The 27,336-nt window shown below is 39.8% G+C and overlaps 1 protein-coding gene across 11 annotated transcripts in view, besides 3 other annotated features; it reads left to right on the plus strand.

The window, feature by feature from the left end:
• HELLS (helicase, lymphoid specific) overlaps positions 1-27,336 on the plus strand; it is a 68,118-nt gene that overhangs the window by 10,346 nt on the left and 30,436 nt on the right. For 3 of the 11 annotated variants that reach the window (NM_001289067.2, NM_018063.5, NM_001289068.2), the window contains exons 4-12: positions 2,006-2,062; positions 6,558-6,594; positions 6,679-6,743; positions 15,255-15,296; positions 17,827-18,054; positions 18,421-18,603; positions 20,529-20,672; positions 25,193-25,389; positions 26,830-26,926. In NM_001289067.2, the coding sequence (NP_001275996.1) occupies positions 2,006-2,062; positions 6,558-6,594; positions 6,679-6,743; positions 15,255-15,296; positions 17,827-18,054; positions 18,421-18,603; positions 20,529-20,672; positions 25,193-25,389; positions 26,830-26,926 (1,050 nt within the window). Of the gene's footprint in view, positions 1-1,045; positions 1,090-2,005; positions 2,063-6,557; positions 6,595-6,678; positions 6,744-12,092; positions 18,055-18,420; positions 18,604-20,528; positions 20,673-20,948; positions 20,964-25,192; positions 25,390-26,829; positions 26,927-27,336 lie in introns of those variants that run through there. The other 8 variants (NM_001289071.2, NM_001289074.2, NM_001289069.2 and 5 more) reach the window with 8 other exon arrangements.
• Positions 19,245-19,746: an enhancer, noted in NCBI's record as "H3K27ac hESC enhancer chr10:96335135-96335636 (GRCh37/hg19 assembly coordinates)". NCBI's record gives its function as "activates a minimal SCP1, AML or CMV promoter by ChIP-STARR-seq in primed H9 embryonic stem cells {active_cell/tissue: H9 hESC(primed)}" and the evidence as "EXISTENCE:reporter gene assay evidence [ECO:0000049][PMID:30033119]".
• Positions 19,747-20,246: an enhancer, noted in NCBI's record as "H3K27ac hESC enhancer chr10:96335637-96336136 (GRCh37/hg19 assembly coordinates)". NCBI's record gives its function as "activates a minimal SCP1, AML or CMV promoter by ChIP-STARR-seq in primed H9 embryonic stem cells {active_cell/tissue: H9 hESC(primed)}" and the evidence as "EXISTENCE:reporter gene assay evidence [ECO:0000049][PMID:30033119]".
• Positions 27,108-27,308: a silencer, noted in NCBI's record as "peak1052 fragment used in MPRA reporter construct". NCBI's record gives its function as "represses an SCP1 promoter by STARR-seq MPRAs in K562 erythroleukemia cells {active_cell/tissue: K562}" and the evidence as "EXISTENCE:reporter gene assay evidence [ECO:0000049][PMID:32103011]".

Raw genomic sequence — 27,336 nt, forward strand, 5'->3', positions numbered from 1 at the left:
ATGGGGTATGGTGCTTTCACCCCGTAGATAGTGTCAGAATTGAATTACAATAGAGGACACCCAGCTGGTGTCACTGCAGAAATGCTTGTTTGGTGTATAGGGAAAACCCCCACACATTGGGTCACAGAAGTCTTTTGTGTTGATTGTTGAGTGTGTAGGGAGAAACTGAGTTTGTTTTTTTCTCAATATTCTTGCACATATGCACTCTTTGTCTTGTTACTTTTGCTCAGTGTATTTTTGAGATTCATTCATGTCATGTTTTTCTGTAGGTTATTTTTTTTATTCCTGAGAAGGATTCCATTAAGAAATGTCGTTATTGGGGTGTAATTGACATACACTAAACTGCACATATTTAAAATGTACAATTCCCTAAGTTTGATATATGGATATACTTGTGAAGACATAACAATCATGATAGTGGACATACCCACTGATTCCAAAAAATTCTTTCTGCTTATTTATAATTCTTCTCGCCCGTCCCTACCCCATGTTCTATCCACAGATAGCCAATTGATCTGTTTTCTGTTATTATAGGTTCATTTGCATTTTCTGTTGGTGATGGGTTCTTTTAGCTTTCATATGTCTGAATGTCTTCACTTACCTTCATTTTTGAAATACGTTTTTACTGGGTAAAGAATTTTTTTTCTTTAGTACTTTATTTCTTGGAGTACTTTAAAGATGTTTCACTGTCTCCTAGCTTATGTTGTTTCTGAAAAGTGAAAGTCCTGATAATGTCTATATGTCTGTAAGCAATTTGACTGCCTCCCTCAATCCCATTACCTTTCAGACCTGTCTCCAGATGTGTTTCCTGTCTTGGGCTTTTGCCCTTGCTATTTTATGCCTGGAACCTTCTTCCTCTAAATAACTGCATGGCTTAACTTCATCTTCAAGCCCTGACTTAAATGGTTTCTAGATGAGACCTGCCCTCACAATTTTAAGAAAGTTGCTAACACACCTGATTCTCTTTACCTTGTTCTGTTCTTCCCATTGCACTTTTCATCTGATATACATCATTTATTGTATTTATTGTTTGTCTTTCCACTAGACTGTTATGAAGATTTAAAAACTTGTGCAAATTGAGAGAATACAGTAAGTCCCGGTGTCCCCATCACCCACATTTAAAAATTATCAATTTAAATTTTGCTGTATTTGTCAAATCTCCTTTTTCCTTTGTTTGAAACCCTTTTATTACTTTTTTATGGTAAAGTAAAACAAATGGAAAAACAAATATTCAACTTAATGAGTTACACAGCATCTACCCCTTTCATCACCTCTTGGAAATGGTTTGAATTTTTGGTGTCTTTAAAAAATTTGTAAGAGTATGTCTAGAATAGCTTTTAGTCTAGGAATAAGTTGATCCCTTTTCTGAGCACTCTACTTGATGCCCTTTATATTAAGAGGACTTTCTACTTTGGCTGAGAGAATGTGAGGTATACCTTATTATGCCTGACCCCTTGGAACATGAGAGGTTCCACCTGCTTCTTTCTGGTGACTCTTCTCCTGGCCTTGGTTACCATGCACTTACCAGTACTCAGCCTGAGAGAGAGATAACAGCTGCCTTTGTGCAGCTTTGTCCTCTCTGGTACTTGACCCTGGGAATGCTACTGCTCTTAAGTTTTGGATTCTGTCTCCTCAACACAAAGAGACTGTTGGGCTCTGTTTGGATTTTTCTCCATTATTTGTACTTTAAAATTGTATCAGGCAGTAAGCTGGGCAGTCAGAAGATTAACCTTGTTTCCGTTTTGTCAGTGTTTACAGTCCGTTACTGCATGTTGTCTGAAAACCATTGTTTAATAAATTTTATCTGGATTTTAGTTGTTTAAGGCAGGAGGCTAAATCTGTCCCATTAGTCCATAAAGGCTTGAAGTACAAGTTCCTCCCTGGTTTTTAATTATGATAGACCTTAGTTTCTCATTGTAAACATAAGTTATTTGAGAATTGATATGCGTTTTTTTTTTAAATGTTGCACTTTCCACTTGTGACATAAGAAAAAATTGTCTTACAGGAACAGAAGAAGAAAGAAAAATTGGAGAGAAAAAAGGAGTCTTTAAAAGTTAAAAAGGTAATATAGCCAGCCGGAATATTTTTTATGTCATTTAAATATTGAAGAAATACTTTTGTATTCTTCTGACTTTTTTGATCATCTGTTTAATTTTAAGTTTCTTTAGTGATAAACCTAACTTTGTTACAAGCAATGCAGAAACATGTAAAATCTGTTCCTCACTATTTAAGAAATGGAGAAAGAGCCAAAGTATGGTCCACTTTAGTTTCTTATTCTATGGATTATTTTGGACGTTGGCAAAATTTGACTTTCTTAATTGGAAAGAATCTGCAAATTTAAACTTCAAGGCATTTTGTAAGTGGCCACCTTCTTTGAAACCTGTAATGAAGTTTTGCTAGTGAAAAGAGAAATAATTTATTGAATACATACTGTGGGTCAGGTGTGCTATCATGTCTTCTCTTACTCTATTTTTTTTTTCTTTTTTGAGACGGGGACTCGCTCTGTCACCCAGGCTGGAGTGCAGTGGCGCAATCTCGGCTCACTGCAAGCTCTGCCTCCCGGGTTCACGCCATTCTCCTGTCTCAGCCTCCCGAGTAGCTGGGACTACAGGCGCCCGCCACCATGCCTGGCTAATTTTTTGTATTTTCAGTAGAGACAGAGTTTTACTGTGTTAGCCACGATGGTCTCCATCTCCTGACCTTGTGATCTGCCCACCTCGGCCTCCCAAAGTGCTCAGATTACAGGCATGAGCCACCACGCCCAGCCTGTTTTCCCTTACTCTCACAACAGTTCTTTTTAGGTAGAGGTACTTTTTTCCCCCATTTTACATAAATAGGCTGATGCAAGGAGATAAAGAACAATCATATTCAAGGATTCTATATTTGTGAATTCGCCTACTCACTTACATTTATTTGTAACCCCAGAGTCAAGATTCCTGACACCGTCATGGTCATTTTTGGATATGCTTATGTTCAGAGCAGCAAAGAATTTTAGTCCTCCAATACATATGTTCCAAGCTCAGCTCAAACATGGGTTGCTGTTCTTTGTTTTCTGCTACCATATGTATGTCAAGCATATATCCTTTTCATGGTCTTTATTTAGCACCATAACTTTTGCGTTTTTTTGTGCTTTTTCATGGTGATTTTGCTGTTAAAATGGCCCCCAACTATTGTACCAAAGTGCTGTCTAGTGTTTCTAAGTACAAAAAGGCTGTGCCATATGGAGAAAGTATGTCTTGGGTAAGCTTCATTGAGGCATGAGGTACAGTGCTGTTGGCCCTGAGTTCGATATTTATTTATTTATTTTATTTTATTTTATTTTATTTTTTTGAGACAGAGTCTTGCTCTGTCGCCCAGGCTGGAGTGCAGTGGTGCAATCTTAGCTCACTGCTACCTCCACCTCCTGGGTTCAAGCAATTCTTCTGCCTCAGCCTCCCGAGTAGCTGGGACTACAGGTGCGCGCCACCATGCCTGGCTAATTTTTGTATTTTTAGTAGAGACAGGGTTTCACCATATTGGGTGGGCTGGTTTCGAATTCCTGACCTCATGATCCACCCGCCTCAGCCTCCCAAAGTGCTAGGATTACAGGCGAGAGCCACTGCACCCAGCTGGCCCTGAGTTCAATATTAATCAACATATATATTAAATAAGATATCTTTAAAAACAGAAACACAAATAAAACAGGGTTGTGTATCGTTTGGTTGAAAATGTCATAACCAGAGTCAGAGACCCAAGCTTGTATTTTTCCTAGGGGCAATAAGTCAATAGTCATAGTGATTTTATCGAACCACAAGTACTGCAGATAATGAGAGCTGACTCTAATTTGCTGAAAATTACGGATTTGAACCCAGGATTAGTTTAAGAGCTTCTACTTAGCTTCTGTGCTAAACTGCCTTTTATTTATTTATTTTTTTTTTGAGACGGAGTCTCGTTCTGTCACCCAGGCTGGGATGCAGTGGCGTGATTTCGGCTCACTGCAACCTCTGTCTCCTGGGTTGAAGCAATTCTCTGCCTCAGCCTCCCAAGTAGCTGGGATTACAAGCACCTGCCAGCACACCCGGCTAATTTTTGTATTTTTAGAAGAGACAGGGTTTCACCATCTTGGCCAGGCTGGTCTTGAACTCCTGATCTTGTGATCCACTTGCCTTGGCCACCCAAAGTGCTGAGATTAAGTCCAGTTATTTGATTCTTAGACTAGTTAATGGTGATGTTAAAATGCCTGATAAAGTATTTTGCAGACTGTTTTGCAACAAAACCCATTATTTAAAACTGGTAATACTGCTAGGTGTGGTGGCTCACGCCTATAATCCCAACACTTTGGGAGGCTGAGGCAGATGGATTCCTTGAGGCAAGGAGTTCGAGACCAGCCTGGTCAACATGATGAGACCCTGTCTCTGCTAAAAATACAAAAAATTAGCTGGGCGTGGTGGTGTGTGCCTGTAGTCCCAGCTGCTTGGGAGGTTGAGGCACGAGTATTACTTGAACCACGGTAGGCAGAGGTTGCAGTGGGCCAAGATTGCATCACCGCACTCTAGTCTGGGCCACAGAGGGAGACTCTGTTCCTAAATAAATAAATAAATAAATACATAAAACTGGTAATACTGAGTCACTGAGAGAGAGAGTATTAAAAAATAAAAATGGGCCAGGCACGGTGGCTCACGCCTGCAATCCCAGCACTTTGGGAGGCCAAGGTGGGCCGATCATCTGAGGTCAAGAGCTGGAGACCAACCTGGCCAACATGGTGAAACCCAGTCTCTACTAAAAATACAAAAATTAGCCAGGCATGATGGCGGGTACCTGTAATCCCAGCTACTCGGGAGGCTGACACAGGAGAATTGCTTGAACCTAGGAGGCCGAGGTTGCAGTGAGCTGAGATCATGCTACTGGACTCCAGCCTGGGTGACAGAGCAAGACTCTGTCTCAAAAAAAAAAACAAAAAAACAAAAAAAAAACCCTCTGATCCTTGACTCACTTGCTAATTTCAGAGACTTACCTAGGGCTTTTCAGATTTTTATTTTCATAGAGACAGAGCTTCACTATGTTGCCCAGGCTGGTCTCGAACCCCTTGGCTTAAGCTATCCCCCACACCCACACCCATACCTTGGCCTCTGAAAGTGCTGGGATTACAGGCATGAGCTAGCACAACTGGCCTTACCTAGGGGTTTTGAAGAACATGTTTTTATTTATATGACAATTTTACTGGCTTAGTCATTTATTCCCTGCTCTTTAACCTGTTAATTTAATATATCCTTCACTTTATTCCACCTAACTTTTTATACCAGGGTTTTGATTTTTTTCCCCTCTGCTTTTTTCATAAGGGCGTCAACTATTTTGAAACTTAAAAAATTTTTTTAGAGGTGATGTCTCAGTAGCCCAGGCTAGAGTCCAGTAGCACCATAGTAGCTCACTACAGCTTTGAACTCCTGGGGTCAAGCCATCTTCCCACCTCAGCCTCCTGAGTAGCTGAGACTACAGGTGCACACCACCATGCTCAGCTAATTTTCGCATTTTTTATAGAGGTGGGGATCTTGCTTTGTTGCCCAAGCTGGTCTTGTACTCCTGGCTTCAAGCAATCCTACTACCTAGTCCTCCTAAAGTGCTGGGATTATAGGTGTGAGCCACTGCACCTGGCCAGAAACTGTTTCTTAACATCTCATTTCTCTTACCTTCCTCACTAATAATTTTCCATTAGTATTCTCTTTTATTTCTGCTTTGGGTTATATTTAATGTATGAATTTCATTCACAATGAATATTCCTTCAATACCCTACCTATTGAAGGGTATTCCTTCAATACCCTACCCTACAAAAATACCTATTTTTGTATTTTTAGTAGAGACAGGGTTTCACCATGTTAGCCAGGATGGTCGTGATCTCCTGACCTCATGATCTGCCCGCCTCTGCCTCCCAAAGTGCTGGGATTACAGGCTTGAGCCACCGCGCCCGGCCAAGATGTACATGGTATTTCTAAATAAAAATGCCAACTATGGGCTGGGTGCAGTGGCTCAACGCCTGTAATCCCAGCACTTGGGGAGGCCTAGGCGGGCGGATCACCTGAGGTCAGAAATTCAAGACTAGCTGGCCAACGTGGTGAAACCCCATCTCTACTAAAAATACAAAAATTAGCCGGGCGTGGTGGCAGGTGCCTGTAATCCCCACTACTCTGGAGGCTGAAGCAGGGGAATCTCTTGAACCTGGCAGGCGGAGGTTGCAATGAGCCGAGATTGTACCAGTGCACACTATCCTGGGCGACAAGAGTGAAACTCCGTCTCCAAAAAACAAACAAACGAAATGCCAACTATGTTTAATTTTGAAATTTCTCTTCTAAATGGAAAAAAATGGACAGAAGTAGAGCCCTTGGGAAAAAGCAGAGATTATGAACAAGTTATAGTAGGGAAATACAGAAAAATATTACATGTAGGTAAGTATAATAGTGAAAAATTGTGGATGTGGCTCAATTGCAGGAAACATATTTTTTCTCAAGTTAATCAGTGCCTTTTAACGTATAATACTATGAAGGTCCTTAATAAAATCAATATTCTGAATCCTTGTTTTGTAGGGTAAAAATTCAATTGATGCAAGTGAAGAGAAGCCAGGTAAATATCCTTATTCTAGTTTTGAAGAATATGCGTTTATATTTCTATTTTAATTGCTATCAAAAATAAAATTTTTTTTTATAGTTATGAGGAAAAAAAGAGGAAGAGAAGATGAATCATACAATATTTCAGAGGTCATGTCAAAAGAGGTAAAAATAAAAGGGAGAGGGCACCTAACATTTGATGTTGAGTAAAATGTAGGTTTTAAACCACCTTAAATCTGTAAAGATTGAATATTCAATATCACATGAAATATGTTTTGAATTTAATATTATATATCATTTATAGGTGAAGCTGCCAAAATGTTTGAAGCTATCTACCAACCTACAGTAGACTTGAGACTAATCTGAAACTAATGTCATCTGACCTTCATAGACTTTTTTTTTTTTTTGAGATGGAGCTCTGTGGTCCATGCTGCCTTGCAGTGTCACTATATCTGCTCACTGCAACCTCCACCTCGCGGGTTCAAGCGATTCTCCTGTCTCAGCCTCCCAAGTAGCTGGGATAACAGGTGCCAACCACCACGCCTGGCCAATTTTTGTATTTTCAGTAGAGATGGGGTTTCACCATGTTGGCCAGGCTGGTCTTGAACTCCTGACTTAAGGTGATCCGCCCGCCTCGGTCTCCTAAAATGCCACATTACAGGCGTGAGCCATTGCGCCCATCCTCACTTAAGTGGCAAATAGGCTTACACCTTTAGGTTGTTCTGGTTTTCTTTTCTTTCTTTCGTTTCCTTCCTTTCTAGCTTCCTTCTTTTTTTTCTTCTTTTCTTTTTTTGAGGCAGGGTATCACTCTGTGACTCAAGCTGGAGTGCAGTGGCACAATCATGGCTCACTGCAGCCTCGACCTCATGGGCTCAAGTGATCCTCCTACCTCAGCCCCCTGAGTAGCTGGGACTACAGGTGTGTGACACCATGCACAGCTGGCTAATTTTTAAATTTTTTGTAGCAATGAGATGTCATATGTTGCCTAGGCTGCTCTTGAACTCCTGGGTTCAAATGATCTTTTTGCTTCAGCCTCCCAAACTGCTGAGAGTACAAGTGTGAGCCAGTGTGCCCAGCTTTTTGTTGGTTTTCTTTTCTTTTTTTTTTTTTTTTGATGAGACGGAGATTTACCCTTGCTGCCCAGGCTGGAATGCAATGGTGCGATCTAGGCTTACCGCATCCTCCGCTTCCCAGGTTCAAGCAATTCTCCTGCCTCAGCCTCCTGAGTAGCTGGGATTACAGGCATGTGCCACCACACCCGGCTAATTTTGTATTTTTAGTGGAGATGGGGTTTCAGTGTGTTGCCCAGGCTGATCTTGAACTCCTGACCTCAGGGGATCCACCCGCCTTGGCCTCCAAAAGTGCTGGGATTACAGGCGTGAGCCACTGCACCCGGCCTTTGCTGGTTTTCTTATTTGGGTTATTACAGATAACAGTAATAGCTTTGACTCTACCTATTATCTTGTGCTTGTTAAGTACCTAGTGGACTTGTATAGCATTTTGCAAGGAACTGTGGAAACAACAGGCATGGGCATAGAGCTTAAAATTACATATATGTTGCGGAGAGTTGGGGGGAAAGGGTAGGGTAGTAAAGACACTGTCTGACCAGAGCAGATAAGTATTTCAGGGAAAAAGATGGTACCAGCTCTTTGTTAAACGAGTCTGAGCCTGGCCTAGTCAGAAATTGTCACTATAATTTAACTTTTTGTAACCCCTAACCTTGTCTTAAGAACTTTATTCTTGTTTTTTGTTGAAGACTTTTACGAAACTGAAATCATATGCTCTTTTCTAAAACCAGCTTCTTTTTTTCATTTCTCACTTTTTACTTAAAAATATGAATGAATTAGAGCATCTTCAGTTCTGACAAACCAGTTCCTTAGCATGTTTTTAATGTGTCACATTCTTCCTTTTTTTTTCTTGGAGACAGTCTTGCTCTGTCCCTCAGGCTGGAGTGCAGTGGCGCGATCTCGGCTCACTGCTACAAGCTCCACCTCCCATATTCAAGCGATTCTTATGTCTCAGCTTCTGAGAAGCTGGGATTACAGGTACCTATTTGTATTTTTAGTAGAGACAGGGTTTTGCCATGTTGGCCAGGATGGTCTTGAACTACTGACCTCAGGTGATCCTCACGCCTTTATCTCCCAAAGTGCTGCGATTACAGGCATGAGGCACCACTCCTGGCCACATTCTTATATTTAAAAAAAAAAGCACAACTCTATTGTCTACTGTTGTTCTTTTACCTGAAGTTCAAACTCTAGCTCTTCAGAAGAAAAATTTACATAATAGTTTTCCTTTTCTCTAGGGATGCAATGATAGTTTTTCACTGAAAAATAATCGTCAGGGGGCCGGGAGCAGTGGCTCACGCCTGTAATCCCAGCATTTTGGGAGGCTGAGGCGGGTGGATCCCGTGAGGCCAGGAGTTCGAAACCTGTCTGGCCAACATGGTGAAACCCCGTCTCTACTAAAAATATAAAAATTAGCTGGGAATGGTGGCTTGCGCCTGTAGTCCTAGCTACTCAGGAGGCTGAGGCAGGAGAATCACGAACCTGGGAGGCAGAGGTTGCAGTGAGCTGAGATGATGCCACTGCACTCCAGCCTGGGCAGCAGAGCAAGACTCTGTCTCAAAAAAAACAAAGTTAGGGTCCACTGAAATTCATTATGGTATCTATTCAACTTGCAGTTTAAAACACTTTTAGGCTGGGCGTGGTGGCTCATACCTGTAAACCCCGGCGCTTTGGGAGGCCAAGGTGGGAGGATCACCTGATGTCAAGAGTTCGAGGCCAGCCTGACCAGCATGGAGAAACCCCATCTCTACTAAAAATACAAAATTAGCTGGGCTTGGTGGCACATGCCTGTAATTCCAGCTACTTGGGCAGGCTGAGGCAGGAGAATTGCTTGAACCCCGGAGGCGGAGGTTGCAGTGAGCTGAGATGGCACCATTGCACTCCAGCCTGGGCAACAAGAGTGAAATTCCATCTCAAAAAAGAAAAACCACTTTTAATATGCCATACTGAAGTTTAGCCAGTCATACAGCTGTTTATTTAATTTGTTAAATGGTTGTGGAATATCGGTTTTGGGCAAACTTTGTCATAGGTGGATGAAATCCATTAGTAAAGAAAGGTAAATGCTGTCTTCACCTTAGCCTGCATACAGAGAGAGATATAGGAGTAAGTAGTCAATGAAATTGAATTTTTTTTTTTTTGAGACAGTGTTTCTATTACCCTGGCTCGAATGCAGCTGGCACAATCTCAGCTCACTGCAGCCTCAACCTCCCAGACTCAAGTGATCCTCGTATCTCACACTCCCCAGTAGCAGGGACTACATGCCTGTGCCACCAGGCCTGGCTGATTTTTGTATTTTTTGTAGAGATGGGGTTTTGTCATGTTGTCTAGGCTGGCCTCGAATTTTTGGGCTCCTGCCTCGGCCTCCCAGAGTACTGGGATTACAGGTCTGAGCCACTGTGTCCGGTTGGGAATTGGATGTTTATACACCATATTAGAGGGGCTCTTCACTCTGGCATGCAGTTCCTGAACCTTTTCATCTATGAAAAGGAAATGATATCTGTGTTGTGACTTGAAGGATAAAAGTTAAATTATTTAAAGGTGGGATTAATAGGGAAAGAGTAAAGTACAGGTAAGATAGTGGGGGAGGTGTTTTAGGAAGAAATAATAGCATTGAACAAATATCCAGGGTCAAGAGAGACTGGCAGTTTCAAAAAACTTGAAGTAAATTATATTTGCCTCCAATTTGTATATAAGTGAAAAGAGTGATGAAGGAAGGATGAAGCTGTCGATGTAAGCATGGTCAGGAGTTTAAGGCTGCCATAAGTAAAGTAGGAAGCTATTGAAAGATTTTAAGCAAATTTCCATTTTGGTAAATCACTTGGCTAGTTTATTCAGAGATCTGTGGGCATAGTAGTTTTTCTTTCTTTCTTTTTCTTTTCTTTTTTTTTTTTTAAGACAGAGTTTCACTGTGTGGCCCAGGCTGGAGTGCAGTGGTGATCTCGGCTCACTGCAACCTCCGTCTCCCAGTTCAAGCAATTCTTTCACCTCAGCTCCCTGAGTAGTCCAGCGCCTGGGACTACAGGCACGTGCCACCACGCCTGGCTGTTTTTGTATTTTTTCATAGAGAGGTGGTTTCACCATCTTGGCCAGGCTGGTCTCAAACTCCTGACCCGAAGTGATCTGCTTGCCTCTGCCTTCCAAAGTGCTGGGATTACAGGTGTGAGCCACCATGCCTGGTCCCATACCAGTTATTCTTTCATTTACTGTTACTTCTTTCTTCTGTATATTTACTGAATTTCCTGCTCTCTTTTCCTCTTCGCCTAACTAAATTCTTTCCATTGTTTCATTCTCACCTTACTTGCTGAAGAATCTCTAAATCTGTGAATGCATTTGGAGGGGTATAACCCAATTGAGTGTTCTGCCACTGTGGACCCTGCTCCTCCAAGTTATCCCTTCTGTTTCTTCACCTTTTCCTTCCTCACTGGGTCTTTGCCTTTCAATTATAGATACATTGTGTTTTCCTGTCTGCAGAACAAAAATTTTTGATCCAGTCTTTCTAGATTGCCCTGTTTTTTATTCTTTATTTCCAAGGTTTTTTTTGAGACACAGTTTTGCTCTTGTTGCCCAGGCTGGAGTGCAATGGCGCCATCTCGGCTCATTGCAACCTCCGGCTCCCAGGTTCAAGCGATTCTCCTGCCTCAGCCTTCCGAGTAGCTAGGATTACAGGCATGTGCCACCACGCCTGGCAAATTTTGTATTTTTAGTAGAGACGGGGTTTCTCCATGTTGGTCAGGCTGGTCTCGAACTCCCGATCTCAGGTGATCCACCCACCTTGGCCCCCAAAGTGCTGAGATTACAGGCATGAGCCACTGCACCGGCCTATTTCCAAGCTTTTTAAGAGTAGGCTGGACTGGACATGATGCCTGACACCTGTTATCCCAGCACTTTGGGAGGCCAGGGTGAGAGGATCACTTAAGCCCAGGAGTTTAAGACTAGTTTGGGCAACATGGCGAAATCCTGTCTCTACAAAAAGAAATACAGAAATAGCCAGGTGTGGTGGTGCATGACTTTGGTCCCAGCTACACAGGAGGCTGAGGTGAGAGGATCACCTGAGCCTGGGGAGGTGAAGGCTGCAGTGAGGTGAGATTGCGCCACTGCACTGCAGCATGGGCAAGAGAATGAAACCCTGGTTTTTTTTTTTTTTTTTTTTTTGGAGAGAGAGTCTCGCTCTGTCGCCAGGCTGGAATGCAGTGCTGCGATCTTGACTCACTGCAACCTCCGCCTCCCGGGTTCAAGTGATTCTCCTGCCTCAGCATCCTGAGTAGCTGGGACTACAGGCACACGTCACCACGCCCAGCTAATTTTTGTATTTTTAGTAGAGATGGAGTTTCACCATTTTGGCCTGGATGGTCTAGATCTCTTGACCTTGTGATCCATCTGCCTTGGCCTCCCAAAGGGCTGGGATTACAGGCGTGAGCCACCGCGCCTGGCCCTTTTTTTTTTTTTTTTAAAGAGTAGCCTGTGCATATTTCCTTACACATTATGCAGTTGAGCAGTTTTACGCCTACCAGTTGAATTTATTGGTATCTTTGAAATTGATACCTAGCACAAAGCAAACAATTTATCTTTTCCTCTCTTCCGAATCTTGCTCTTTTGTTTTCTCTTTTTTTGGTGTTAATATCAGAACCAGTATCTACTGTGTCATCTAAAACAATTTAGGAGGTTATCTGAATTTCCTTATATATCTAGATTTTTATCGATTTCTGTGAGTCATTTCATTTGCTGCTACTCTGGTGTTTATGCCCTTACTGTGCCCTATTTATAGTAGTTTCTTAATTGATTTTTATAATCCTAGTCTAGCTCTCATTGTCAAGAGTACCAGATTGGTTTTTCTGAAACTCAAATATAATTACTCATAACCTCCATTACTTTTTATGGTTTCACAAGGAATTGCATTTTCTTGTAGAAAAATTTGAGAATAAACAAAATACAAGGAAATCACCTGAAAAGCTGTCACACAGATAATCACTAACATTTTGGTATATGTATGTTCTTTTTCTTTGTATTACGGAAAATCTCAAAAATTACAAATGTTTAGAGGATAGTAAATTGAATGTCCACCTTTATCACTTTTTTTTTTTTTGAGATAGAGTTTCACTCTTGTTGCCCAGGCTGGAGTGCAGTGGCATGATCTTGGCTCACAGCAACATCCGCCTCTCAGGTTCAAGCGATTCTCCTGCCTCATCCTCCCGAGTAGCTGGGATTACAGGCATGTGCCATCATGCTCGGCTAATTTTTAGTTTTATCAGAGATGGGGTTTCTCCATGTTGGTCAGGCTGGTCTTGAACTCCTGACCTCAGGTGACCCGCCCGCCTCGGCCTCCCAAAGTGCTGGGATTAGAGGCATAAGCCACCACGCCCAGCCAATCGCTTTTTAATTCTGGGATATTTTAACAAAAAGCTCAGCAAGACTTTTTTTTTTTCTTAAGGTGGAGTCTCGCACTGTCACCTGGGCTGGAGTGCAGTGGCATGATCTCGGCTCACTACAACCTTTGCCTCTTGGGTTCAAGTGAGTCTCCTGTCTCAGCCTCCCAAGTAGCTGGGATTACAAGTGCCCACCACCACGCCCAGCTAATTTTTTGTATTTTTAGTAGAGACAGGGTTTCACCATGTTGGCCAGGCTGGTCTCAAACTCCTGACCTTGTGATTTGCCTGACTTGGCCTCCCAAAGTGCTGGGATTACAGGCTTGAGCCACCATGCCCGGCCAAGACTATTTTTTAGAACCATAACCACAATACAGTTACCACACTTTTGAAAGTCGATGGGAATTCCTTAATATTTAAATTTCTCAATAGGCTAATTTTTATTTTTAGGGATGGGGGCTTGCTGTATTGACGAGACTGGAGTGCAGTGGCTATTCCTGAGTATTGTCATAGTGACTACACCTCAAACACCTGGGCTCACATGATCCTCCTGCCTCAGTGTCCCGAGTAGTAGTGCAGGGACTATAGGCACTTACCGCTGTGATCTGCTTAGCTCATACATTTTAAAAAAATAGTTGGTTCAAATCAGGATCCGAAAAAGTTACATAAATTGTGTTTGATTAATGCGTATCTTGGGTCTCTTTTAGATCTAGAGTGTCTCTCATCTTTTTTAAGAAACATTATTTGTTGAAGAAAATGAGTAATTCTGTATAATTCCCCACATTCTAGACTTTACTGATTGTATCCCCATGATTTCTCTGCCTCTTGTGTTTCCTGTTAACTATAGTAACTATAAGTTAAATACGGAAGTTTGTGATTAAGGTGTTTTTTTATTTTTTTTTTTATTTTTATTTTTTTTTGGGAGACAAGATCTTTCTCTGTTGCCCAGGGTGGAGTGCAGTGGTGCCATCTCGGCTCATTGAACCTCTGATTGCTGGGCTCAAGCAATCCTCCCACCTCATCCTCCTGAGTAGCTGGGACTACAGGCGTGTACCACCAAGCCCAGCCAACATTTATATTTTTTGTAGAGATGGGATCTCACCATGTTGCCCATGCTTGATTTTTAATAAGAATACTTCATTGGTGGTATTTATAGATTTTGATTTATTTCCAAATTGTTCTTTCAAAAGTTTCATTTTATCTAGTCATTTTACAGGACAGCTTTTATCAGTTCCTGGTATAAAATCCTTTTAGCCTCAGCCTTATAATATGAATATCTATACATACATAATACTTCATACACACACGATATACATATATTCCCATGTATATATATGTGTGTGTGTCAGCCACTTACATGTCCTGTTACTCTTCTATGAATCTTAAATTTGATATTGCTGTTTTGAATCTACTTCATCCCCTATGCCTTCTATATTCTCTCTGCTTGAAATCTACCCTCACTATCTTGAATGATGAAGCCTGGTGACAACTTTTTAGATAATTTTATGTAAGATAATTATTTGCTAAGTCATCCAGTGACATACTCGGGTATTGTTTGTCTCCCTACCAGCAGCATCTAGTAGGTACTTCAAAATCAGAGCACTTTATTCTGTATTTTTAATTTTTTCTGTCTTTGCCTCTTACCCAGGAATGCAAACTCAGATGTCTATCCACAGAGGCCTAAAGTGGGCTGTAACATGGTTTGGCAAACTTTTTCTGTAAATAGCCAGATAGTAAATATTTTTAGCTTTTGAGTAGTTTTGTGGGCAACTACTCAACCCTGTACTCTGCTGTTGTTGCTTGAAAGCAGCCATAGACAAACCGTAAACAAGTGAGGCTGACTTTGTTCCAATTTATCCCATTTCTTTGCTTTTAAAAAAATACCTGTGTATTCGCTTAGCTGGAGTTGGTCTACAGGCTGTAGTTTGCTGACCCCAGGACTAGAGGTTTGTTGCCATGTGTGAATTTGTACTTAATCTACTCAGATTAAAAGAAAGAAAAGCTGGAAAATCACTGTATTTGATGAAATATCCCATTGTATAAGTGTTCCCAAATTAGCCTAGAATGTTATGAAATATTATGAGCCAGTAATGTCTATAGGCTTATTTCTGCCTGAAGGCTACTAGTTTTATCTTGAGAATCTCATCCTCATTTCCTGGCAAAATGAGCACAGAATAAATGCTTGTTGAATAAATAAATAAATGAACTTCATACATTATTAATTTGTTTTTGTTTTCTCAAACTACTAGGAAATTTTGTCTGTGGCTAAAAAAAATAAAAAGGAGAATGAGGTAAGAAATTTATAATGTAAGATTAAGTTTAGAAGTCATATTTACTCCTCAGTTACTAGTCCTTTTTCTTTAATCAGCAGTATACGTTCTTCTCACTATTATCCTGTTTCTTTGCTTTAAAAAAAAATACCTATGTATTCACTTCTTCCATATCCAACATTCTTCTTTTTTATGTATCAACTTTAGTTAGTTGTTTTATTGCATGATTCTTGATGTATAAATGTTAATTTATGGGTCTAGCAATGTTGCTTTTAACTTGTGAATCTGGCAGTGATACAAGTGCTCGTAACCATGTGGATATAAACCGTGAATCATCTTATGGAAGCTGTGAGGGATGCCTTAATCTTGCTTCAGACCTTAAAGATTTTTTAAGTTTCTTAAAAGTTCTGTTTGAGAAGGCTTGATTTCCGAGCCACCTCTTCACTTAGCCCATTTCATGTAGAGAGGTTCCTTGTTATCTGACTTTTTATTGTTCAAGTACTTAAAATTACAAGGTTGCCTAGGGAAGCAAAATAATCATGACATGAAAATATTCATGAATGGATATGAACTTCAGGTAGTTAATTTACATATTAAAGATTTTTAGGCCTTTGGGAAATTAATGTTATGTTTATAAAATGAGAGATAATCTATTTGGTCATATAATTTTGTCCAAAATTTATATTGTAAAAGTGTCTTGGTTTTTATTCTTTGTTAAGTTATTAAGGACTGGTTTATGGGTGCAGTTTAGTTGGATTTTTAAAGATTTAGTTAGATAAACATTTAGTTGGATTTTTAAGATAAAGTCTAGATGTAATCTTCTGTAATTTACTATGGGATTTTGGCTTCATTTTATAACTTACAGTCAGTAAGAAATAGTTGTTAAGTATGGTATTTTAATGAATTTCGACACTTGCATACACTTGTGTAACCACCATCCAAATCAAGGTATAGAACATTTCCATTGTAAAGGGATCTCTTCTATGTCTTTCCACCCCCAAACCCAGAGGAGGCCACTTTTTACACCTTTTATAGGATGGCTTATTATTTCCTTTCCACTCAACATGTCTGTGATACTCATTTATGTTGTTGAGCATATTAGTAACCGGTTTCTTCTTATTGACTAGTATTCTGTTGAATGAATGTTACAATTTTCTCATCCATCCCCTTATTGATGGGCATTTGGGTTGTTTGCAGTTTGTGACTTTTATGAGTAAGGTTGCTATGATAATTTGCACACAAGTCCATGTGTAGACATGTTTTCATACTTTCTGCCTGTGTACCTGGGAATGGTATTGTTGTGTTACGTGGCAAATGTGTGTTCATAAGAAAGTACAGATTTTCCCCCCCAAAGTAAACACATCATTTTATTCTCTCGCCAGCAATGTTTGAAAACTCCAGCTTACATTATTGTCAGCATTTGATAGTCTTTTTAATTTCAGCCATTTTATTAGATGAGAAATGGTAACTTGTGTGGTTTTTAACTTGCATTTTCCTAATTACTACTGAAGTAGAGTATATTTTTATGTTCTTTGATAACTATGTTTTCTTTCTTTTTTTTTCTTTTTTGAGATGGAGTGTCACTCTGTCGCCCAGGCTGGAGTGCAATGGCACGATCTCGGCTCACTGTAAACTCTGCCTCCCAGGTTCAAGCGATTCTCCTGCCTCAGCCTCCCAAGTAGCTGGGACAACAGGCTCATGCCACCATGTTCAGCTAATTTTTGTATTTTTAGTAGAGACAGTGTGTCACCATTTTGGCCAGGATGGTTTTGATCACTTGACCTCATGATCTGCCTGCCTTGGCCTCCCAAAATGCTGGGATTACAGGCGTGAGCCACCATGCCCGGCCTGTATGTTTTCTTTTGTAAAGTATCTGTTAATATCTTTTGCCCGTCTTATTTATGCGTACTGTATTTTCTGTGTAACAGTTTAATAAATTATTGAGTATCACAATATTAGAAGTTTGGAAGAGAGATACAATTCTAATGATCTTTTCAAAAGTATGTGCCTGATTTTAATTTGTAAGGGTTATTCTCAGATTTTTATATTTTATTTTATTTTATTTTATTTTATTTTTTGAGATGGAGTCTTCTGTCACCCAGGCTGGAGTGCAGTGGCTGTGTTCATGGCTCACTGCAGCCTTGACTTCCTGGGTTTAAGTGATCCTCAGCCTCCCGAGTAGCTGGGATACAGGCAGTTGCGTGCAACCACACCCAGCTAATTTTTTGTATTTTTAGTAGACACAGGGTTTCGCCATGTTGTCCAGGGTTGTCTTGGATACCTGGACTCAGGTGATCCTCCTGCCTCAGCTTCCCAAAGTGCTGTGATTGTAGGATTAGCCACTGTGGCAGCCTGTTATTTTTTTTTTTAGTAGCTTTTCATTTGTAGAGGGATGGCGATGTCTCCAGTTTTTTAATCCAGGTGTGATCTTAGTCTTCTATACTTAATGATTATAGGACTCAGTAGATTTTGTTAGTTGCATTTTCTGATAAATGGTGGCATACAGCAGCATTTTGTATAACACATCTTATTAAACTTTTTTTCTCTACAGGATGAAAACTCCTCCTCTACTAATCTCTGTGTGGAAGATCTTCAGAAAAATAAAGATTCGAATAGTATAATTAAAGATAGATTGTCTGAAACGGTTAGGCAGAATACTAAATTCTTTTTTGACCCAGTCCGGAAGTGTAATGGTCAGCCAGTACCTTTTCAACAACCAAAGCACTTCACTGGAGGAGTGATGCGATGGTACCAAGTAGAAGGCATGGAATGGCTTAGGGTAATGAATTGGAATTTTTAATACAAGATACTGGTTTTATTTCTATAGTAGCCTAATGATTTGAGGTACCACAACTTGAGTCATTTCTATCATGTTTCACTATTATACATTTGTATGTGGATACTTGCTTTCTGATTTCTTTACCCTGAATTTTTAGAAGTAGAAATTACCTTGTTAATGGCTTCCAGCACTTTTATGGCTTTGATAAAGGACTTTCCAGTGTTGTTATAATTTATGGTGTGAATATATCAGCTTTAACATAATTCTCATCTTTGGGTGTGATTTTTTAAAGAGAAGAAATAAAATATTGTAATCCTGTAGTTGTTTATATCCAAGTTTAAATACAGTATCTATTATTTTGTCCAGATGCTTTGGGAAAATGGAATTAATGGCATTTTAGCAGATGAAATGGGATTGGGTAAGACAGTTCAGTGCATTGCTACTATTGCATTGATGATTCAGAGAGGAGTACCAGGACCTTTTCTTGTCTGTGGCCCTTTGTCTACACTTCCTAACTGGATGGCTGAATTCAAAAGATTTACACCAGATGTAAGACATGCTTCCTTATGTTAAAATTATAATTTTACATGTTTTCTTATGCTTTGTTGTAGTAGGAATTAAATTGTAGAACTCTTATAATTATATTGGTTTCTGTATAAATATTTTGTCTGATTTGACTTACTCAATCTGCACAATACCCTAATTTAAATTTATATAGTATAGGTTTTGGAAATCCCTGACATCTTTCCTAAAATATTCCTGAATGATTTTCAGTGCATTGGTAATTTGATTCGACTGAGACAGACTTAGGTAGAGATTTTATTAAAAATTCTGCTTGTTCTTCACTTGATCTTTGCCAAAAGGCTAAGAAGAGAGTTTTCTGTTTTTTCTGTACTTGTTACCTTCTGCAATTTTTTTTTTTTTTTTTTTTTTTGAAATGGAGTCTCTGTTACCCAGGCTGGAGGGCAGTGATGCAGTCTTGGTTCACTGCAATCTCTGCCTCCCATGATGAAGCAATTCTTGTGCCTGAGCCACCGGAGTAGCTGGGATTACAAGCATGTGCCACCATGCCCAGCTAATTTTATGTTTTTAGTAGAGACGATGTCTTGCCATGTTGGCCAGGCTGGTCTTGAACTCCTGGCCTGAAGAGATCTGCCCACTTTGGCCTCTCAAAGTACTGGGATTATAGACGTGAGCCACTGTACCTCCCGGGCCCAGCCCTTCTGCACATTTTTGCCTTATGAGAAATATATATATTCTAGACGTAGTATCACCATCTGTCTCATTTTATATATTTATATATATATTATTTATTTATTTATTTTGAAATGGAGTCTGTCTCTGTCACCATGCTGGAGTGTAGTAGCTGGGACTACAGGCGCACACCACAAGGCCAGGCTAATTTTTTGTATTTTGGTAGAGACAGGATTTCACCATGTTGGCCAAGATGGCCTCTATCTCCTGACCTTGTGATCCGCCCACCTTGGCCTCCCACAGTGGTGGGATTACAGGTGTGAGCCACTGCGCCCAGCCTATATGTGTTTTATGTATTTGTAGGTTTTTTGTTGGGGGGGGGGTTGTGTTTGTGTGTGTGTGTGTGTGTGTGTGTGTGTGTGTGTGTGTGTGTATGACAGAGTTTCACTGTTGTTGCCCAGGCTGGAGTGCAATGGCACGATCTCGGCTCAGTGCAACCTCCGCCTCCCGGGTTCAAGCGATTCTCCTGTCTCAGCCTCCCAGGTAGCTGGGATTACGGGCGTGCGCCACCACGCCTGGCTAATTTTGTATTTTTAGTAGTGACGGGGTTTCTCCATGTTGGTCAGGCTGGTCTGGAACTCCCGACCTCAGGTGGTCTGCCCGCCTCAGCTTCCCAAAGTGCTGGGGATTACAGGTATGAGCCATCCCACCTGGCCCGTCTATTTGTTTTTATGCCTTTTTTTTTGTCTTCAGACAGGATGTTGCTCTGTTGCTCAGGCTGGAGTGCAGTGGCGTCATTCTGGCTCACTGTGGCCTTCACCTCCCAGGCTCATGTGAGCCTGCTATCTCACACGCCTGAGTAGCTCATGTGAACCTCCCATCTCACTCCACTGGGTGAGTAGCTGGCACTACGGGTGCGTACCACCACACCAGCTAATTTTTGTATTTTTTGTAGAGATGGGATTTCTCCATGTTGCTCAGGTTGATCTCGAACTACTGGACTTTAGAGATCGGCTTGCCTTGGCTTCCCAAAGTGTTGAGATTATAGGTGTGAGCCATTGTGCTGGGCCTGACTTTGTTTTTTTGTTTGTTTTTTTTTCATTTTCTCCCATAATAGTTCAATGATTTGTTAGAATTGCTTGGCTTATTTTGCTATAGAAAAATAGAAATAAAATTTTTTAAAATTATATTTTTTCCCTCAGAATGATTTATATTTTCTAAATAGTCAATATTTACATTTTGTTCTTAAGTCTGATAAAAATCAATATAAAATTTTTCAGATCCCTACAATGTTATATCATGGAACCCAGGAGGAACGTCAAAAATTGGTAAGAAATATTTACAAACGGAAAGGGACTTTGCAGATTCATCCTGTGGTAATCACGTCATTTGAAATAGCCATGAGAGACCGAAATGCGTTACAGGTACAAATGATCTTCATTGGTTTCTTTGTAATACATAAAACATGCTTTTCTTCATTTATATCACTTTCTCACCATCTGGGAGCATTTGTCTAATTTTTTTTTGTTGTCGAAATAATAGATTATATTGTGCATATACCTGTAGAAGCTGGAAACTTTTATTAACAGAATGATTGGGATGAAGGCCATCATTTGTAACAATATAATTAAAGCTTATGGCAGTTTAACCTATGGCTTAGAATCATCCAGAAATAGACCTAATCTCGGAATGTATTACAGATATATTTGTGACAGGTACTTTGAATATATGGAATTTACTTATCGTATTTTAATCAAATAAGAGTATTTGAAGACAAGTTATTTTTAGAGTATCTTATTGGACTATTTGGTAGCATTTTCGTTTCTATTTTCTTGATGTTCTAGCTACTTATTTAAATAATTTCCAGTTAGCATAACAGAATTGAAAGATTGACCTTTTTTCTTTCATGCCTTCTGTTTTCATTTATTGGTGTTTTGAACTTCTTCCTCACTGCTCTACCTCATTCATTTATAATTCTTGACTGCTTTTTTTTTCCTTTCTCTGGCCATGTGAGAACCCTCTTAGTGCAGTCCCCTTAGGTTTATCTTGCTTGCTTGGAAATAGGAAAGTATTTAATGGTTTCAACATAAAATCAAAACACATAAGTCATAAATAGAATAATTATGACTTGCATAATTATGACCAGTATTGTCAGGTTTTATGTGTCTGCTGGTAAAACTTTGGAATATGATTTGCAGAAATCTCAGTTCAGGAGTTTAGCAAAGTTTATGAATGTGTACAGCATTAAAAAGTATTTAAACCAGGCCGGGCATGAAGGCTTATGCCAGTAATTCCAGCACTTGGGAGTCTGAGGTGGGCAGATCCCTTGAGGCCAGGAGTTCCAGACCAGCCTGGCCAACATGACGAAACCCTGTCTCCACTAAAAATACAAAAATTAGGCCGGACGCGGTGGCTCACGCCTGTAATCCCAGCACTTTGGGAGGCCGAGGCGGGTGGATCATGAGGTCAGGATATCGAGACCATCCTGGCTAACAAGGTGAAACCCCGTCTCTACTAAAAATTACAAAAAAATTAGCCGGGCGCGGTGGCGGGCGCCTGTAGTCCCAGCTACTCGGGAGGCTGAGGCAGGAGAATGGCGTGAACCCGGGAAGCGGAGCTTGCAGTGAGCCGAGATTGCGCCACTGCAGTCCGCAGTCCGGCCTGGGCCGACAGAGCGAGACTCCGTCTCAAAAAAAAAAAAAAAAAAAAAAAAAAATACAAAAATTAGCTGGGTGTGATGGTGCACATGTTTAATGGCACAAGGATTGCTTAAACCCAGGAGGTGGAGGTTGCAGTGAGCTGTGATTGCGCCACTGCACTCTAGCCTGTGCTACAGTGAGAGTCTGTCTCAAAAAGAAAAAAAAATTTAAACCAGTAGTCCCCAACCTTTTGGCACCAGGAACCGGTTTTGTGGAAGACAAGTTTTCCATGGACCATGGGTGGGGGATGGTTTCAGAATGATTCAAATGCATTATAATTATTGTGCACTTTATTTTTATTATTATAAAATTGTCATATATAATGAAATAATAGGGCTGGCCGTAGTGGCTCACCCCTGTAATCCCAGCACTTTGGGAAGCTTAGGCGGGCAGATCACTTGAGGTGAGGAGTTTGAGACCATCCTGGCCAAGATGGTGGCCAACATGGTGAAACCACATCTCTACAAAAATACAAAAATTACCTGGGCATAGTGGCCTAGCTCCTTGGGAGGCTGAGGCAGGATAATTGCTTGAACCCGGGAGGCGGATGTTGCAGTGAGCCGAGATCATGCCGCTTGGTTGGCTGGGCAACCAAGTGAGACTGTGTCTCAAAATAATAATAATTTTACAACTCAACATAACGTAGAATCAGTGGTAGCCCTGAGCTTGTTTTCCATCTAGGGATGATGGGAGACAGTGACAAATCATCCACCATTAGATTTTTATAAGGAGCGCACAACCCAGACAACCCAGATCCCTTGGATGTGCAGTTCACAATAGTGTTCATGCTCCTATGAGAATATAATGTCTCCTGATCTGACGGGAGGCAGAGCTCAGGCCATAATGTGAGCAGTGGGGAGTGGCTGTAAATACAGATGAAGCTTCCCTTTTCTGTAAATACAGACGAGGCTTCCCTCGCTCACAGCTGCTTACCTCCTGCTGTGTGGCCTGGTTCCTAACATGCCATGGACCCCTACAGGTCTGTGACCTGGGGGTTGGGGACCCCTGATTTAAAGCATTTCTTTACAGTAAAAGTAATATATACCAATTTTTTTTAAAGGGTAGTGTACAGGAAGATGTAAAAGCACCTGTAATTCTACCTGAGAACTACTACTTTTTTCTTTTTTTTTTTTTTTTTGAGGCAGAGTCTTGCTCTGTTGCCCAGGCTGGAGTTCAGTGGCGCGATCTTAGCTCACTGCAAGCTCCACCTCCCAGGTTCACACCATTCTCCTGCCTCAGCCTGCCGAGTAGTTGGGACTACAGGTGCCCACAACCATGCCCGGCTAATTTTTTTGTATTTCTAGTAGAGATGGGGTTTCTCTGTGTTAGCCAGGATGGTCTCGATCTCCTGCCCTCGTGATCCGCCCGCCTCAGCCTCCCAGAGAACTACTACTTTTATACTAAATAATTATAGCTAACATGTAGGTATAATTTACACATATGATCATACTATACATTCAATTTTTTTTTTTTTGGTCCGAGACAGGGTCTCACTTTGTCACCCAGGCTGGAGTCCTGTGGCACGATCTCAGCTCACTGTAGCCTGAATCTCCTGGGCTCAAGTGATTCTCCTACCTCTGTCTCCTGAGTAGCCGGGACTACAGGCGTCCGTCATCACACCTGACTGATTCTTGTATTTTTTTGTAGGAACAGGGTGTCTCAAGCCATCCAACTGTCTAGGCCTCCCAAAGTGCTGGGAGTACAGGTGTGAGCCACCACTTCCAGCCTGCATTCACTTTTGCAACTTGTGTTTTCTACTCAGTAGTATAACATGAAGACCCTTCCTGTAATGAAATAGTTAAGCTTCCTTGTCCATTTCCTTTGCCAGTGGCTAGAAACTTTTGACTTTTTCCATTTAAGTGAGCTTATATTATCATTTCAAGGATCTTAGCTTACTCTGGTAACGGAGTGTGAGGTTCCAGGGCTTTTGTTGCTGAGTGCGAGTGGAAGTGACTGAGTTCACTTGCTAATTTGGCTTTCAGATTCCTCATCATTTATTTCCTTGTTTTCTTTTCTCTCACATACCCATTATAAAAGTATATATATATATATATATATATATATATATATATATATATATATACACACACACACACACACACACATTTTTTTTTTTTTTTTTTTGAGACAGTCTCACTCTGTCACCCAGGCTGGAGTGCAGTGGCACGATCTCGGCTTACTGCAACCTGTCTCCCGGGCTCAAGCAATTCTCCTGCCTCGCCTCCTGAGTAGCTGGGATTACAGGCATGTGCCACTACGTCCAGCTAATTTTTGTATTTTTAGTAGAGACGGGGTTTCACCAAGTTGGCCAGGCTGGTCTCAAACTCCTGACCTCAGGTAATGCGTCTGCCTCGGCCTCCCAAAGTGCTGGGATTACAGGCCTGAGCCACTGCGCCCGGCCAAGGATATTTTATATTTTTATCTGGATTTTTAGATAGCTGTCTTACAGTGAGAGATAATTCAGGTTTTTTGGTTTAACATATTGCCAGGAAAATAAATCCTTTCTTGGTTATTTTAATAAAGAAGATACAGTACTATAAACTTTTTTCATTCTTTTGGGATGTATAAAGCAAAATGCAAAACGTTCTCTATACTCTTTCCTCAATTTGTCAGTCCCATTTTTTAAGGATAGTTATATTTTTCAGATTGTTATTTATATTTCCAGAAATACTTCATATTTCTGTATGTTAATATAAATTAGATTAATTATAAATTTTCCTGATTAAGATATATGAGAAATCACAGATATTAAAATGAGAAAGTTAAAACAATTTCCTTGATAACTTTATGAAAGTGAGTGGGTGACTTTCTGTGAAAATATAAATTGCTTAAATAAGGGAAAATTCTAGTGCTATTTGATGTTTCAGCACATATGGAACTAATAAAAGCTCAATTTTTAGTAGTCTAGTGTAACATTAATATCAAAACTTGGGAAAATATTAGAAAAGAAAGCTACAACTGCGTTGACTAAGGTGTGAATAGGGAAATCTTAAATTCAAAATAGGTGGAGTTCAAACTTTATTGCATATTTTAGTAGGTCTCTTCCAGGAACAGAAATATCTATCAGTTTTAGGAATCCTTGTAAGTGGATCAAATGAAAACATGATCATTTCAGTAGTTACTGAAATTACATTTGATAAAATTCAACATCCATCCCTCATAATAGAGGTTTTATTTTTAGAATTCTTGTTAGAAAAATTGTGAGATCATTGTTTAAAAATCTTTTTCCTCAATTCGTTTTCTAGCATTGCTATTGGAAATACTTAATAGTAGATGAAGGACACAGGATTAAGAATATGAAGTGCCGTCTAATCAGGGAGTTAAAACGATTCAATGCTGATAACAAACTTCTTTTGACTGGTACTCCCTTGCAAAACAATTTATCAGAACTTTGGTCATTGCTAAACTTTTTGTTGCCAGATGTATTTGATGACTTGAAAAGGTGGGTAAGCCAGTTATTTAATGATTTAACCTCAAAAATCTGTGCTGTTAGTTAAAATTACTTTCTTTTCAGTGACTGAATTAAAATGCCAAATATTTGGCAAGTTCTTTGTGGTGTATATTGTATGTTCTACTCCTGCCACAAATTATGTGAGAGCAGATTAAGAAAAGATTATTTAAAACTTACTTGCATTGATTAAAGGAAGACTGCTGAATGCAACTTTAAGATAATATTTTTATAATAAGGTTCTTTTATGTGTTACCTTTGTAAAACATTTTAAGATGGATTTTTCTTACTATATCCTCATTAAACAACCAGGGACAATAGAGTTGTTAAATTATTTCCTATCTCACATAAAAGAAAACCTAGGTGTAAAGTTGTTACAAGATAAGACTAGTTAGTTAGCACCAGAGCCAAAGTTAAAACCAAGGTCTCCCAATGTAAACACAGTGTTTTAATTCTGGAAACTGTTTGAATCTTAGCTTATATAATAAAATCAGACATAAAAGTAGTTTTCAGAAAGTAATTAGTAGCTTCAGAATGGAGGAGGAGGTAATGTTGACATAATTTAAAACTGATTACAACGGAAATATAACTTGGGCAAAAAATAATTTATACTTGTTTTGGCATCAGTGAAGGAAGTAAGCTAATTGGGTGTGGAAAAATAATTTTAAATTTTGGGAATTTATTTCAAATCTGGTTACCGAATGGTGGCTCAAGGCAGGCTACCTTATTGTGACTCTGGGCGCTTTTATTGAAAGACAAGAATTCCAGGTCCTGTGCAGACATACTGAGTTACAGTGTCAAGGTAGGAGTTGAGAATCTGAGTTTTTTGAACATGCTTCTGGTGATCCAAGTTTGGGAACTTCTAGTCTACTGCATAAATGTTACTAGCATTTTCCAGAATTGGGTATAATGTTACCTATTCTATATTATTAATCTGCATGCTCATACTTAATTGCTCATTGTAATATATATATTTTCAACATTGGGAAGGAATAAGCATGTATATTATTGTCAAGTTATGTATATGTTGAATTTTAAAATATTTATTGTAGTGGGCCATACTTAGACTGATGGAGAAAAATCATATGGCTTTGGTTTTCAGAGATAGTTCTCACTTTTGTAATGTAAAATTATAAATATATACCTTAATCTTATTTTTGATTTTTATACTACTGTACAATTGTTAATCTATTTATAAATCAGAAAAGTGTTCCCTTTAAGCTCACAGTTCTTGATGGTTCAAAAATGCAACCAATTTATCTTTGTTGTTGGAATGTGTTCTCTTCCATTATAAATTTTAAAAATTGCACCTAAGGATTTGATGCAACAATACCACGTTTCATTATCAGATTATTACTGTAAATGATAAATCATGTATCATGTTGACATAATTGAATTTATGTGATGGTTAACTTAAACATTTTTCTCTTCCAGCTTTGAGTCTTGGTTTGACATCACTAGTCTTTCTGAAACTGCTGAAGATATTATTGCTAAAGAAAGAGAACAGAATGTATTGCATATGCTGCACCAGGTTTTCCATGTTTTCTTATTCTGCTTAACCATAGGCTCGATAGAGTATAAAAGGAACTCTGGAGATCACCTGTCTAACCCTTTGTAGTAGAGATTTGAAAAATGAAGATCCTCCTACATTTAAATGACTCCTTTGTCCTTTCTTCTCCCAGAGGTCACATGGTTTTATGACAGAACTCAAGTGCTTACCTAAGTTTTGTCCTTTTCAGATAGTATACTCATTTTACCCCTAATGGTTACTGATAAGTTTGTCAAGCACAAAACAGAAGTATGTGGTTTTTATGGAATGCTTGCCAATAATACTTTTATAATTTACATCCTTGCATGGCTGCTGTCTAATCTATTTTTATTGCTTCCTGTAATTCCTACCCCATCCTACCTATCTTTAATTTAGAGAAACATTATCTTTCA

This window comes from Homo sapiens, chromosome 10 (genome assembly GCF_000001405.40).
Source record: "Homo sapiens chromosome 10, GRCh38.p14 Primary Assembly".
NCBI classification, from domain to species: Eukaryota; Metazoa; Chordata; class Mammalia; order Primates; family Hominidae; genus Homo; species Homo sapiens.